Below are 14,130 nucleotides of genomic sequence, written 5' to 3'. Positions count from 1 at the left end.
AATTTAGGAGAGCTACAAATCTGTTAAGTCATCTCCAGTGGCTGCTAGGCTGCTCATTGTCACCGTAATTGTGAGCTGTTGACTTTCAAGAGTACCATGAAGTTGGAAAGAGGAGGATAAAAATAAGGTAAGTTAAAATACCACAAAATTCACTATTTTAAACAAGATTAAACTGCTTTTCTTCATTAAATGATCCTTGGATTGTTGCACATGTTAGATTATTTTCTAGAGTTCTAGTAAAATGTTTTTTGCCAGTGCTTTCATTGTTTTTATGAAACAGAAAAATTTGGGAGATCTTAGAGATCTTTTTCCTACAATTTCCATTCTTATTACTCATAACAGTGGTTTTTAACCTTTGTTGTGTAGACAAAAAGAGTCAAACTCTGTAAAATATTTGAAGAGATTTATTCTGAGCCAAATATGGGTGACTGTGGCCCATGACACAGCCCTCAGGAGGTCCTGAGAACATGTGCTCAAGGTGGTTGTGATGCACCTTGCTTTTATACATTTTAAATAGGCATGAGACATCAAATACATTTGAGAAATACATTGGTTTGGTCCATGTTAGAAATGTTTGTTCTTTGATGTCACAAAGAAATAGCACTTGAACATAAATTTATTTTTTTCAGCAAGGCTATTTTTTTTTTTTTTTTTACTTTCTGCAGAAAAGGTACACTTGCTAGCAGTTTTGTCATGAGAGTACACTGAACAAAGGAGACAGGGTCATTTATAACCTGATGTGTCCACCTTACTGCCATGTCTGGTTTTTATTGGCTGGAACGGGACTTTACATTTTCTGTTTGTTCTGATTGTCTAGCAACTTAGAACTTTTTAAACGAGGCAAAGGCAGAGGAGAACAAAGGAAGGAGGAAGTAATTTGTGGAATGCTGAGAAAGGTAGAAACATCTTCAGATAAGGAAGAGGAACAGGCTATGACCTAATGCCTGCTTGGACTAGTATAAGAATGCTAGGGCAAATATTTAGGCTAAATTGTGGGAGCTAAGAACGTAAAGTACATTGATTTCTGCTCGGTTAATTTTTTGTATTTTTTAGTACAGACTGGGTTTCACCGTGTTAGTCAGGATGGTCTCGATCTCCTGACCTCATGATCCACCCGCCTCGGCCTCCCAGTGTGCTGGGATTACAGGCATGAGCCACCGTGCTTGTGCTGACCTTCTGTCTCATCCTGTGATATAGGATGCCTTAACTATCTGGGAGTGCATCCCAGTAGGTTTCAGCCTCATTTTACCCAGCTCCTACTCAAGATGAAGTTGTTTTTGTTCACATGCCTCTGACACCTTTACTATATACCAGTCATTCTTTAAGTACTTTACATATATTACTTCATTTAATTTCTCATTCATTCTATAATTTTCAAGTTTATGTAACTGAAGCACAAAGAAGTTCAGCAAGTTAATGGAAGAGGTTTGAAACAGGTATCTCAATAAACAATGAAGTCATAAAACTCTAGAAAATTTACACAGAATATACAAATTTACATAACATGTAAATTTTACATAAAAGTGTTAGAGATTCCCTGAAGCCTCTTAAGGGGCCAAATGTCAAGTACCGAATTACAGAAGACTATTTCCCAAAGACTTCTGTCATTTTTGCTTCATATTAAACATTAATAGAGCTGATGCATGATTTAAAGGATAAGATTTCATGTTATTGCATGCCAGGAATAAGTTTTCAGTGAGAACCTAGCATGTGTCAGACACTAACCTACGTTGTAGGCATTATCAGCTGTGAATAAAACAGACATGCTGATGAATAATGTATTGCATGTTATAGAACTTTCAAGGCCACTCCACACATTAATGATAGAGTGAGAATTTGAACTAAGATATATTTGATTCATCGTGTCTTGTTCTACTCTGCTGCACTTAAGATCATAACCATTCCTTGAATTAATAATTACATTAAAAATGCCCATTACATTACAAATAAAGTGGCCCATATCAACACCTATCTCTAGGTGTGGACATAAAGTTGTATCTACTTGATAGGAGTAACTTAGATGCTTTTAATAGGTAAAATGTTGAGTTGAGTAAAATTTTAAGGACATTCTTAATTCCTTCTAAAAGAGATACATTCTGTACCAGTAATAAGGTTTAACTCATCTAATTATAACTGTAGGCAAGAGTCCAGCAAAACCTGGCCTGATTCCATCAGCCCCTCACCACTTCCCACACAATCCTTCACCCTTTTCAACTGCTTTAAACATAATTCAAAAATGTAGCTCCTAACCTATACCACTGGTTTTTACACTGATTTATAGTGGTTAATAATGCTTTCATATTCTAATAGTTCATAATTAAACGTGGGCAAAGAAAGTGAGAAAGAGTTGAATACTACTTTTTCAAACTTTAAATTGTTTTTAATTTAAAAACTGCTTTTGCATTTATTTTGTCATTTTATTTGTTTTGTTGAAATAGGTTTACTTTTAAAGTATCAATTAATTAGAAAATACCCTTAACTTTTACATTAAATCTCTTGACTCTGTAATTCTTGGATTTGTCGTATAATATTGAGCTATTCATAGCATATGGAAGTTAATTATGTTACATTGTACAATCCTTAAAAAAATCTCAATTTAGAATGTATGACATTAACTTACAGGAAACACAGATCCTACTGTAGTTTACAAACTCTACAATAGCCAATCACCTTCTTAGTTTTCATAGTACATTGAGATCACATTTTATATATTACAGCCAGGAGCAATGTAATGTGTTTTTGATATTTATTTTTCAAATATTAGAACATATTTCTTTGTCTTCCGGGAAAGCCATTTATTTTGATTTTCTTTTATTTTCACAGAAGTACTTACTTTGGGTTTGATATTTTTAAAAATAATGTTTGCTCAAGGAATTCCAATTAGCTCTTTCAGGGGATGAATTAGGCAAATATGAGTTTCTTGCATATTGTGCTATTTCATTTAAAATCCATTAGAACTATATTAATAAATATATTTACAATTATTTTTCATGGAAATAGGTATTTTCAATTGCTTTGTAGTGTAGTAATTATTGGTCATAAATGACACAAGATGTACTTTGTGAGCAGTCCTTTATTTTGATGAATAATAAAACCTACAATTATAGTAGTTAACAAGTATTTTTCAATTACTGTTTTAATGACTTAGGATGGGTATTACCAAGATAACAACTGCCTGAACTAGAAGAGGTAATATTTGGTTTCATCATAAACAATGTAGTATTGAGCTCAGAAGCACCTTTGTTTTATATTGTCTTCTCAACACAAGACAAATTATGACATTACAAAATAAATTCAGTTGCTCACTGTTCATCCTCATGGGCGCATAGCAGAGAGATTTTATTAAGAAAAGTCACCATTTTCCTAGACTTTTACTGATTTAATAACCAAGTGAAACTGCTACATCAGGCCTGGCGTGGTGGCTCACGCCTTAACCCCAGCACTTTGGGAGGACAAGGCGGGCAGATCACCTGAGGTCAGGAGTTCAAGACCAGCCTGGCCAACATGGAGAAACCCCATCTCTACTAAAAATACAAAAATTAGTCAGGCATGGTGTGGCAGGCACCTGTAATCACATCTAATCGGGAGGCCGAGACATGAAAATTGCTTGTACCTGGGAGGTGGAGGTTGCAGTGAGCGGAGATTGTGCCACTGCACTCCAGCCTGGGTGACAGAGTGAGACTCCATCTTAAAAAAAAAAAAAAAAAAAAAAAAAAAAAGAAGCTGCTACAGTGCAAGAATTATACAACACATAAAATGCTTTGCCACTATAATTTTGATGTCTCAATGAATTAGTCTGCCATCCATATCTCATGTAGTAGCATTATATTTCAATAATATTTTAGCTACATATTGGTAGAGTGTATTTTACTGTAAGTAAATGCGGCCATAAAAATTTATTATGTTAGGTGATTGAGACATCCAAGGGTTTTTTCCATGGCTAGTCCTCTAATAGGGATTAATTGACTGACACTTTTGACTTTCTATAGGGTTAATGATGACCAACGACTAACACATTAATAAATCATAATAAGTTTTTTACAGATATGATGCAGTAATATGAATACTGTCTGTGACTTAATCTTTTATAATTTGAGAACTGACAAATTCAACACTTGGCAATGTAACCCTCCATGGTTCAAGTGTTGTTGGGTTGGCAAATTTTTGCCATCAGTGCTCTTTCCATTTGCACATAATTAATTAGTAATAAGTGTGGAGATTGTATTATGACCTAGTTATATATCTCTGTGGAAATCTGTGTATTGAGATAAAATGATAATACTAGATAGAATGCATGAAATCAATCTCAAACGCCATTTAAATTTTGCTTTTCCATTTATAAATGTACTTAGTGAGATGTATCTCATTAGAATTTTTTTAAACTGTTGTTACTGAATATGCTTTAAATATTATGCAACATATTGATATTTTGAACATGTATCTCAATATCTTTATATGTGAAATATCACCTCTAGTGAGATTATTATTCATCTAAACAGTTATCAAAAACTACTTGGATCTTTAGGAAAACTTTTTTTTGCTTACTCTTCTCTACTTTAATGCATATCAAGTTTATTAGAAGTCTGTAAACCACATACCTTAAATAAAATTATAGACTTATGATATATGATCCTTCCACCTAGACAAACTGACTAAATTTATGAACACAAATGGTATCCTTCCTCATTATTTGTGGAACACCCCTGGTAAATTTGTCTGATGACTTGTGTACATATAAGAAGAAAAAGCATTTGTCATTGGAAAGGTTAACGTTATTAAAATTTTTTCAAGTAGCATTTTGTAAAAAGGTTGTTAGAGATGGGACTGTGTATATGTGTATATTTTATAATTTATGTATGTAAATTAATGAAGTGCTGCGATTGCATTTAAATATGATTTCACTGAAGCTCATCCTGTGGAGAGGTAGCCTACACCAAAGTCTTAACTAAGAGTGACTAAACTAATGAAAATAAACACAATTACTTTCACTTTTTTTTTTTAAAATCAGCCAATGCTTCTACTTTCAGTCACAGAAAGGCCTCATGTGATCTATAAACTATGTTTATTTTATTAAATACCTATTCCTGTGTCAGGAGCACACATTCAGTTTCTTTTCTTTACACTCATCTAAAAATGTTTCAAAAATTCCATCCTGTGATTGCTGCATAATTCCAACACTTGCTGTACCTGATATTCTACAGGATATCCCAATTTCTTGAGTCACCTTATGAAAAGTGTGCTAAGGGAAATATATTCATTTTTGTTATTGTTTTGAAAAGAGGATCTTACTAAATTTCAACAGAAACAGCTTCTAAGAAAAAAATAAGAAATTATGCTGCAATGAAACTTATCACTTAACAATAATTACTAATTAAAAGATCATCAGCACTTTTTTTTTAATGGTTCACTCAATTTTAGCACTCATTCATTTGTTCATTTGCTTCAAAAATAGTTAGGTGTCTACAGGTGCACGTTGTTGTGTTTGTTGCTGGGGATGTAGAGGAAAGAAGTCCCTGCTCTCTTAGAACTCAGTCTTTCAGGACATTGGATATTAAACAAATCATAACTCTGCAAAATATTTAGTTACAATTATGATTTATGTTACAAATGGGAAATACAGAGTGCTGTAAAACATACAAAAGGGAAACTTACTAGATCTCTAAGAGGGGCTCAGAAAGACTCCCCTGAAGAAGTAACATTTAAACTAAGATTTGATGAATAATAGTTATTCAGGCAAAAAGAACAAGGGGATGGGTGCTCCAGGGAGATGGAACATAAATAGAAGGCTTGGACTTTCTCCCTCCACATAGCAAAAATAAGCATAGCATCTTAAAAGTTCAACAATAACTACTACTATATGAATTGCTTTAACTTTAACACAAGAGGATTTTATAATAGCTGTACATGCAACATGAAGGAAGCCATAATGGCATATAATTTATTTGTCTTTGAAATAACTGGATTCAAAGAATACCTTCAAAGAAACATATTTCCCATGCAAACACATATTCAATTGTGGGACAATAAATATGTATTACACAGTGCTCAAAATTTAGAACTTCTTTGCGAGTTCCAAGATGTGACTCATATATACATCTACTATGAAAAGAAGATTACACTCTGCTCCATGGAATGTCATTTAAGATAGAGTAGAATGAATGAACACTTGTAAGCAAGTTAGAAAGTACAGGTCCTAGTTGCAGTTTTACTGTGACCAGCCTAAGTTTTCATTTCTTTTTGCAGTGTAGGTAACATTATCTCCTTACAGGGACACTATGAGAATAAAATGTGTAATGTTTGTTTTGAATTTTGAAAATTGGTATAAACTATACAAATGGAATATTTTATCATTTTTTTCCCCTGAAAATTCTACACATATTTGGGTTTTTCTTATCTTTGATCAGATGTCTTCCCTTTATTGGAATGTTTGCAACATGTACTCCTTTTTTTCCCCTAAAGGTCCAATTAAAATCCCATTACTTTTTTGAGGCTTTTTTTCCACCATAGAAGTTATTTTCTCTACCATCTCTAAACTCTCTTAGCACTTACAAATTATCTGTGACTGGCATTTATTGACTTGTATGCTTATTTTAATGTGTGTTTCAAAAGCATAGTATTTTGATGTTGAAAGGGAAATTAAAGTTTGGTCCGATAGATTTCAGAGGTCGGGCTTTCCTTTGAATCATTTCAACCCACTTGTCAAATAAATTTTGCTTGAACAGCTCCTCTGACAGATAGCTTGGTATCCTTTGATTAAGTATATTTTACTTCTTGACATCTCTAAGAGAAAGTTATTTGTTTTTAATTGAGACTAAATATGTCAAATTGCTTTCATACCTGGCAACTATTTCCTGATCCTTTCTACCATCGTCTTCCTTTTTCTGGGCAAAGCAAGCTTTCAGAGTTTCAGGTATTTTAGTTATACTTATTTTTCTTGCCTAAAAATATTCCAGGAGAATATCTATCTATCTATCTACCTATCTATCTATCTATCTATCTATCTATCTGTCTATCCATCCATCCATCCATCTATCTGTCTGTGTGTGTATGTGTGTGTCTTATATTTAGAACTAAATGTATTATTTAACTACAATAAAATGATTATCTTTTGTTTTAAATATTATAATTCTGGCATTTCAGCCTCAAACTTCATTACATTGTTGATGATCATATCAAGTTTATCTTACTTTATATTAAATCCACATGTCTTAGTCTCAGGTGATTCTGCTAAATCATATATACCCACCATAGATTACTGCAATATCTTTTTTAGATATAATTTCCAGGATGCTAAATTATGTTCTGTTACTTCTGATGGTGAGTAGTAGAGAGTAAGCCAGTAAACCATAAAATAAAAATGTTATGTTTTCTTTTCTTAAATATACTTCAAGCTGCTTACAATGAGAAGCCATTTGCTTTTTTACCTGAATTCCATTACATAATGAACTTCAAAGCAAATAGGTGCCCATTAAACACCTAAGATATGATGATGATGATGATAATGAAATGATGATTTGTTTATATGTATTTATTGTTCATATATATGTATGTATAACTACATTTGCATATCCATTGTGAAAATACATAGAATCACTGTCCAAAGGATGACCTGCTCAAGATTTTATTAACATATATGTGAAGATGCATTTGACATACTCATAATATTGAGAAATAATAAGACATGCCCTTTCTGTAAATGGCAAGGAACACATACTTATTTGAGTCACTAGCAGGGATGAAAGATTTTATCATATTGTGAAATACTTGATGTTTTGTGTTTCCAGCACAGTAGTATATCTTAATCTTAACATAGTATAGTTAACTGAATATATTTGACACATTTTCCTCTTTCTAATGTTGTGCTTAGTTTTTCATGATGTGTAGCCATGAGACCTACCTTATTTATCATGTATTTCCATCAGTGCTTTATTTTCGACCTTTCCTTCTTCAAAAGCAGAAAAAAATCAAAGAGGTTACAAAAGGTAGTACTCCTTTATGCTATATAAACTTGAACCAATCTAGTGGATTTCTGCTCTACTAGTACATCACTTTCTCCTTTTATCTTGGTAGAGGGTTAGTTTAAATGTCATGATTAAACAAAAATGTTTTTGTATGCTGGCATATTCCCAAAGTTCTGTATCATGTTCAGATCACAAAGATTAAGGCATATTTTAACAGATAATGCAATCTTCTGCACTTTAAGAAAAAAAATTTAAAAAACACACCAACTGTTTCAGTCCGCAGTGTCACAGAGAACAAAATCTGTTCTACTTTAAAGACAAAGGGACTTATCACAGGCAATTAGTCACAAAGGCACACTTTAGAACTTGACCATCAAGGAGACTGCTGCCTCAGCCAACCATGATTAGGCAAGATGTGGAATCAGAAGGCTAACTATAGAATTGGGACATTTCAACTATATTTGCTAGTCCAGAACTGCACACCAATATTACACTCTCCAGCAGCAAAAATGGACACTTTCTGTCCTGCCTCTCATTCCATGAAGCTCTAAATCGAAGTCTTACTTCCAAAACCATAATTATAAGGGAAACTATACATTGCATTAAAAAAAAAATCTTGGCCAGGCACGGTGGCTCACGCCTGTAATCCAGCGCTTTGGGAGGCTGAGGGGGGGTGGATCACTTGAGGTCAGGAGTTCAAGACCAGCTTGGCCAATATGGAGAAACCCCATCTCTACTTGAAAACACAAAAATTAGTGGCCAGGCGCAGTGGCTCACGCCTATAATCCCAGCACTTTGGGAGGCCGAGGTGGGTGGATCACTTGAGGCCAGGGGTTCGAGACCAGCCTGGCGAACGTGGTGAAACCCTGTCTCTATCAAAAAATAAAAAAATTAGCTGCACATGATGGTGTGTGCCTGTAATACTAGCTACTCGGGAGGCTGAGGCAGGAGAAACGCTTGAACCCAGGAGGCGGAGGTTGTGGTGAGCTGAGATTGCACCACCGCACTCCAATGTGGGCAACAGAGCGAGACTTCATCTAAAAAAAAATAACAAAAATTTAAAAATTAGCCAGGCTGAGACAGGAGAATAGCTTGAACCCTGGAGGAAGAGGTTGCAGTGAGCTGCAATGAGCCGAGATTGCGCCACTGCACTCCAACCTGGGCAATAGAGCGAGACTCTGTCTCAAAAAAAATATAAAAATAAAAAAATCTTTCCAGTCTTTTCAGCAGAAGAAAACATACTAGAAGGGGATTAGTGTGCATATTAAGCAGGATGGTCTGTATTATACATCACATCAAGCATTTATTTTCAAATGTTCATGTTGACTGATATTGAAAATAATCCTGTGTATTAAGAAATATCTATCGTAATTCAATCCTAGATTATTAAAAATTAGATGTTCACAGCTTCTAAAACTAACTTATTTCCAAGTTACCCTTCCTGTTTTTCTCTCTTATCGTGGGAGAGGAAGTGAGCCCCCTGAGGGGAGCAACATTCTAGACAGAAATAAAAACAAGGGAAAATAATTTTGTCTGTATTTATTTTTATTAAAGAAAAAAGAGGAAGAAGAAAAAGAAAAGAAAAGGAATAAAAAAAATAGCACAGGTAAGCCAATGGCACTGGAGAAGAGTAAGTAGGAAATTAGAAGAAGGTGAAGTCAAAGAAGTTATGGAAGAATAGATTAAAAATAATCTTGTCATCAAAAGGAATTTGTCTCTTTTACTCAGATAGGAAGCCCTTAGGGTTTTGAGCAAAGAAGGGATGAACTCACTTGACTTCTATGTTGAGAACAGACTGCAGGGAATACATCATGGGTATAATAAGGCAACTAGTTATCATACTAGTAATATGGGAAAACAATGATAGTGAAATGGATCAGGTTGCTATCAATGGAGGCAGGTTTTAGAAGCAGTGATGAGTGTTTAACGTACATTTTTAGAGCATTTTACATATTTAGAATTAAAAGTAGTAGACACTGTAAATTGTTTTGAAAATTAGAAATAGATTTAACATGTAGGGCATTTGGTTAACACAATTTAGCATTCTTTACTGATCAGAAGATGCATTGTCAGTTCATGTGTAAGAAACAAAATGTCACTCAAAATTACAAATATATTGTTGGGTCAGGTATAGAGGAAATATAATTTCCAACTTTTGAAATATCTTGGCTGAATTAAGCAATCTATACTGTTATAAAGAACAAGATAAATCTTCAATGTCTCAAGTAAAATACCTTACTATTGGGAAGACCATCTGTATCAATATCAGGAATGTGTATATGGATTTCCAAAATTTTTGGTGATAGTAGAGAAAACTTTCCAAGGATTCTTCACTTCCAGATGACACTGTGCAACTGAGTGACCCCAGCCAATACAGCCTATTTTACTGATGGCTGACAACTAAGATTTTACATTTAAGTATCTTATTTTGCAAGTCACTTTCATAAAATGTTGAGAGTGATTTACAAAGCCTTTATGATTTGGAGGAGAAAAAATCAGTCAGAAAACAAAAACACATCTCCCTAAATAACAATGTTATTTAAATCTTCTACCATACAGAAACTACAGGTTTCTAAGGGGTATGAAATGCATCTTGATCTACTAGTTACTGAAAGCATAAAACTAATTAAAAAATAGAAAAAATAAATATCCTTGCCACATGAACCACATTTGATTTAAATTTGGCACTGTTAAAAATGGGATCAAGCACACAGAATTTCCAGTGTGTTAGATGCTAAGAAAGCCAGTTGTTGATAATCAGAAGTAATATGAGGTAGAAATTCTGTTAGTGAAGAAGACAGGTATAGCCTAGGATAATCCTGCTAATTAAAGCGTAACAGATTGCATGTCTTCTAGAAAAGAGGGATTCAAATATCAAATAACTTTGTAAGTAGCTGCTCAATAACTGGAGGTAACTGCAAGTCAGTGGTAGAAAGGAAGAACTGTAGAAGGAACCAATTAACCAGAGGCAGTTCAAGTTTGCAAGGACAAATCTGAAGGTTTCTCAAATAATCATGGGTTAATCTTAGCAGGAAGAAATTAAGAAACTAATATGTATAATATGAGCTTTAATCAATTTATTGTGAGAAAAGATAATTAAGAGAAAAGAGTTTTCTAACAAATGAGTAGGGGCATGCATAATAACTTGAAAATGATTAGGATAGTTCATTTGTATACAGTTCACTTCTCTAAAAGAAAATTAGGAAGAGAAATATAGAATATTAAGGCATAATAAAGATCTTATTGAATTAGTAACTGCATGATAGGTAGTAAAAGGAATGCAAGGGAGGTTTAGTTATTTAGATATATTAAGCAGCTGCTTTACAAATAAAATGTCAGAGGCTTAAAAGTGTTAACACAGTGTCAGTATCACCTCTACCCCTTACTGGGTGTTTGACTAAAGACTATGTCCTCAAACTTGCTGTGATCAGTTTTCTCCTCTATAAAGTAAAGTTTAAAATAGCATTTACCTCTTGGACTTGTGATACTTAATCTGTACAAAATGGTTAGAAAAGTCTGAGGCACTTAGGGAAGATTTGATAAATGTTAACTATCATCATCATTATTATTGTTATTTTAAATTATTTCTTTATAATTAAGCAGAATCTATTACGTTGATGATTGATTCTGCTTTCTACGTTATATAGAATCTGAATTAATATAACAAATATTTGTTGTTTGCCTGCATTATTTGAGACTCTGTGTTAAGTGCTGGGGTAAAAACTGACCAAGATAGACACAGTCATTCTCTTTAGGCAGTCTGACTGGGGACATGTGCAATTAAGTGAGTTGAAGTGGAAAAAACAAATGCCTCAAGAGAGTCAAATGTGGATAAAAGTGCTTTAGAATCGGGCCTTTTCAAACAGTAACTTCAGAGATCTGGCCTGGTATTTGTAAAGCTAAGGAAGCTTTCATTAAGAGGTAGAAGCCTTAGTTACTGCTCTTTTCTTAATCTAATTAAGTCTAAGGAAATATACTTTGAAAAAGTGGCTGCGAGATAACACATTATGCTGGGAATTACGATAGGAAAAAGAAAGGGTCCTGTGTAAGAATCTAATGGAGCAAGTAAGTGTTCTGGGAAGAGGGAGCGGGGTATGAATAATCACAGAAACGTAGTAAGAAAATTATATTCTCTTAATTAAATATTTTATAGGCCTATAATAGGAGTATTATATTAAAATACACTCTTTAAAACTTGTGATCTACTAAAAAAATAGAAAGATTGATTAATAATATTGAAAGCCTTAAGAACATAAACACTGAGATATGATAACTATTATTGAGGCTGCCTTTGACAAAAAGAGGGAAAAACATTTTTAAAACATAAAAATAATTGAGGGAAAGAAAATTCTACTTTGATATAAGAAATATCACAATAATGTTTTATCTCGTGTTTTTTTTCATAAACTCCAATCTTAACAGGATTACTATATGACATTACTGTAAAATATCTTTTCTCTTCCTTCCCCACTTTCACCACTCCATACAAGAAAGTGCCACATGTGGTCATAATCTGAATAAATGATAGAGAAAAGCAGAATCTACTCATAAAACTCAAAAAATAGAAGTCTTAGAAATAAGCATAATGTAAATTGAAACTAGATGTCCCATTTTAAAGACAACACCTTACCTTGACAAACGCTGTCAGGAAACACCACATTTATTTCAGAGCAGAACATTTTTTCTCTATTTCTTCCCTTCCATCCTACCTCATGAGGAGAATATTATACCAGTAAATCTCAAAATCATCTGGAATATAATTTCAATACGTGAAAAAAATCTGTAATTTGTCAATAGTCTATTTAAAACTAACACTCAGAAAAAATGGCAGCACACTAAACATTATGTGTCTAGTTAGGAGCACTTAAGACATCATTGTTGAAGTCCTTTCTGTTAACATTTAACCTCCTGGGGTTTAGATAATAACTTATTCATTAAACTGCTAACTCCCTTTCCAGCAGGATTTGCCTATGAATTTTTAACTGGGGCCGAACCTCCAGATGTCTTCCTCCTCCAACTAAATTCTTACCATTTCTTTTCCATGCTGCTCACTTCTTGCTTCCCATAATCAGTTAGCATCTAAGAGAGCCCAGTTTGTGTGGCTCCCCAACTAAATATATCATTCTGAAATTATTCTCTCCACATAAGTTCAGTACACATTAGGGCTATAAAAATATTTCAAGTTCTGTATAGGATGTATTCTAGGCTCATATTTACTTATTTTTTTCTCCATGCTAATTACTCTGTTTTTCACATTATTGAAGTAGAGTAAAATGGTCTCTTAACACCCATCTGTAACTCTATTTTCTTTTATGTTCAGATTCCCTAAATAGCCTCACAAGATGATCATTCCTTTCCATAACCTCTAAGAGAAGATCTAAGAAGGAGCTATGAAATCAAAGACCAAAGATCTGACTCTTCTGTGAGTCACTCTGCCCTCTACAGTGACTGTTCATTACTTAATTTTACAGCCTAGTGTTGGGGTCTGCCTTCAAATGTTCTGTGTCGTGTCCAACACACTTTGTCATTTTCTTTCTAATCCTTGTGATTATTATTGTTGTTATTGTTAGCTTCCTATGTAAAACTAGTTCTCAGCTTGATGATATAAAAACTATTTTAGCCATAAATGTATCTCTTGTATTTATATAAAAGGAAAAGGAGTATTTTAAACACTTCTGACAACTAATAAAGCCAGGTGTGTGTGTGTGCATGTGTGTGTGTGTGTGTGTGTGTGTAGAGAGAGAGAGAGTGAGAGTGAGAGTTTAATCTAGGTGTTAACCCTGGGGTCTTGGAAAAGTTCCCATTTGAGTAATTGAATTTTTATTAACTCACTTCCTCTTGCAGGTATTTTTCATTTAATGCAGCACAGTGTTCTGTATTATTTCTGGATGCTAAGTTGTTGCTACATTTCTCCCTGTGGTGACTACATTTCATCAATGAATAAAGCCGTAACTGATACATGAAATCATTTTATTTTGATATATGTGCTTTGGAATCCTCCCCTATTTTAAAACAGATACTGGAAAAGAAAAGACAGATGATAGCAATATAGATAGAGGAAACAGATATCTGGGGGATTCCTATTATTGAAAAAATAGTCTTATTTGGTTTTGGTATTATCCCCTAAATTCTGTAGACTTTTGTTTCAGAAAATAAAGAAAATGAATGG

At 33.7% G+C, this 14,130-nt stretch overlaps 1 long non-coding RNA gene across 2 annotated transcripts in view; it reads right to left on the bottom strand.

The window, feature by feature from the left end:
• Positions 1–12,779, bottom strand: part of LINC01781 (long intergenic non-protein coding RNA 1781) — a 111,034-nt gene extending 98,255 nt beyond the window's left edge. The window contains exons 1-2 of one of the 2 annotated variants that reach the window (NR_125940.1): positions 12,592–12,779; positions 7,898–7,945 (exon numbers count right to left, since the gene is read on the bottom strand). This is a non-coding gene — a long non-coding RNA (long intergenic non-protein coding RNA 1781). The remainder of the gene's footprint in view (positions 1–7,897; positions 7,946–12,591) is intronic. The other variant, NR_125941.1, reaches the window with a different exon arrangement.
• Between the last annotated feature and the right edge of the window lie 1,351 nt (positions 12,780–14,130).

This window comes from Homo sapiens, chromosome 1, assembly GCF_000001405.40.
Source record: "Homo sapiens chromosome 1, GRCh38.p14 Primary Assembly".
NCBI classification, from domain to species: Eukaryota; Metazoa; Chordata; class Mammalia; order Primates; family Hominidae; genus Homo; species Homo sapiens.
This window is presented reverse-complemented; position numbering and strand designations above follow the sequence as displayed.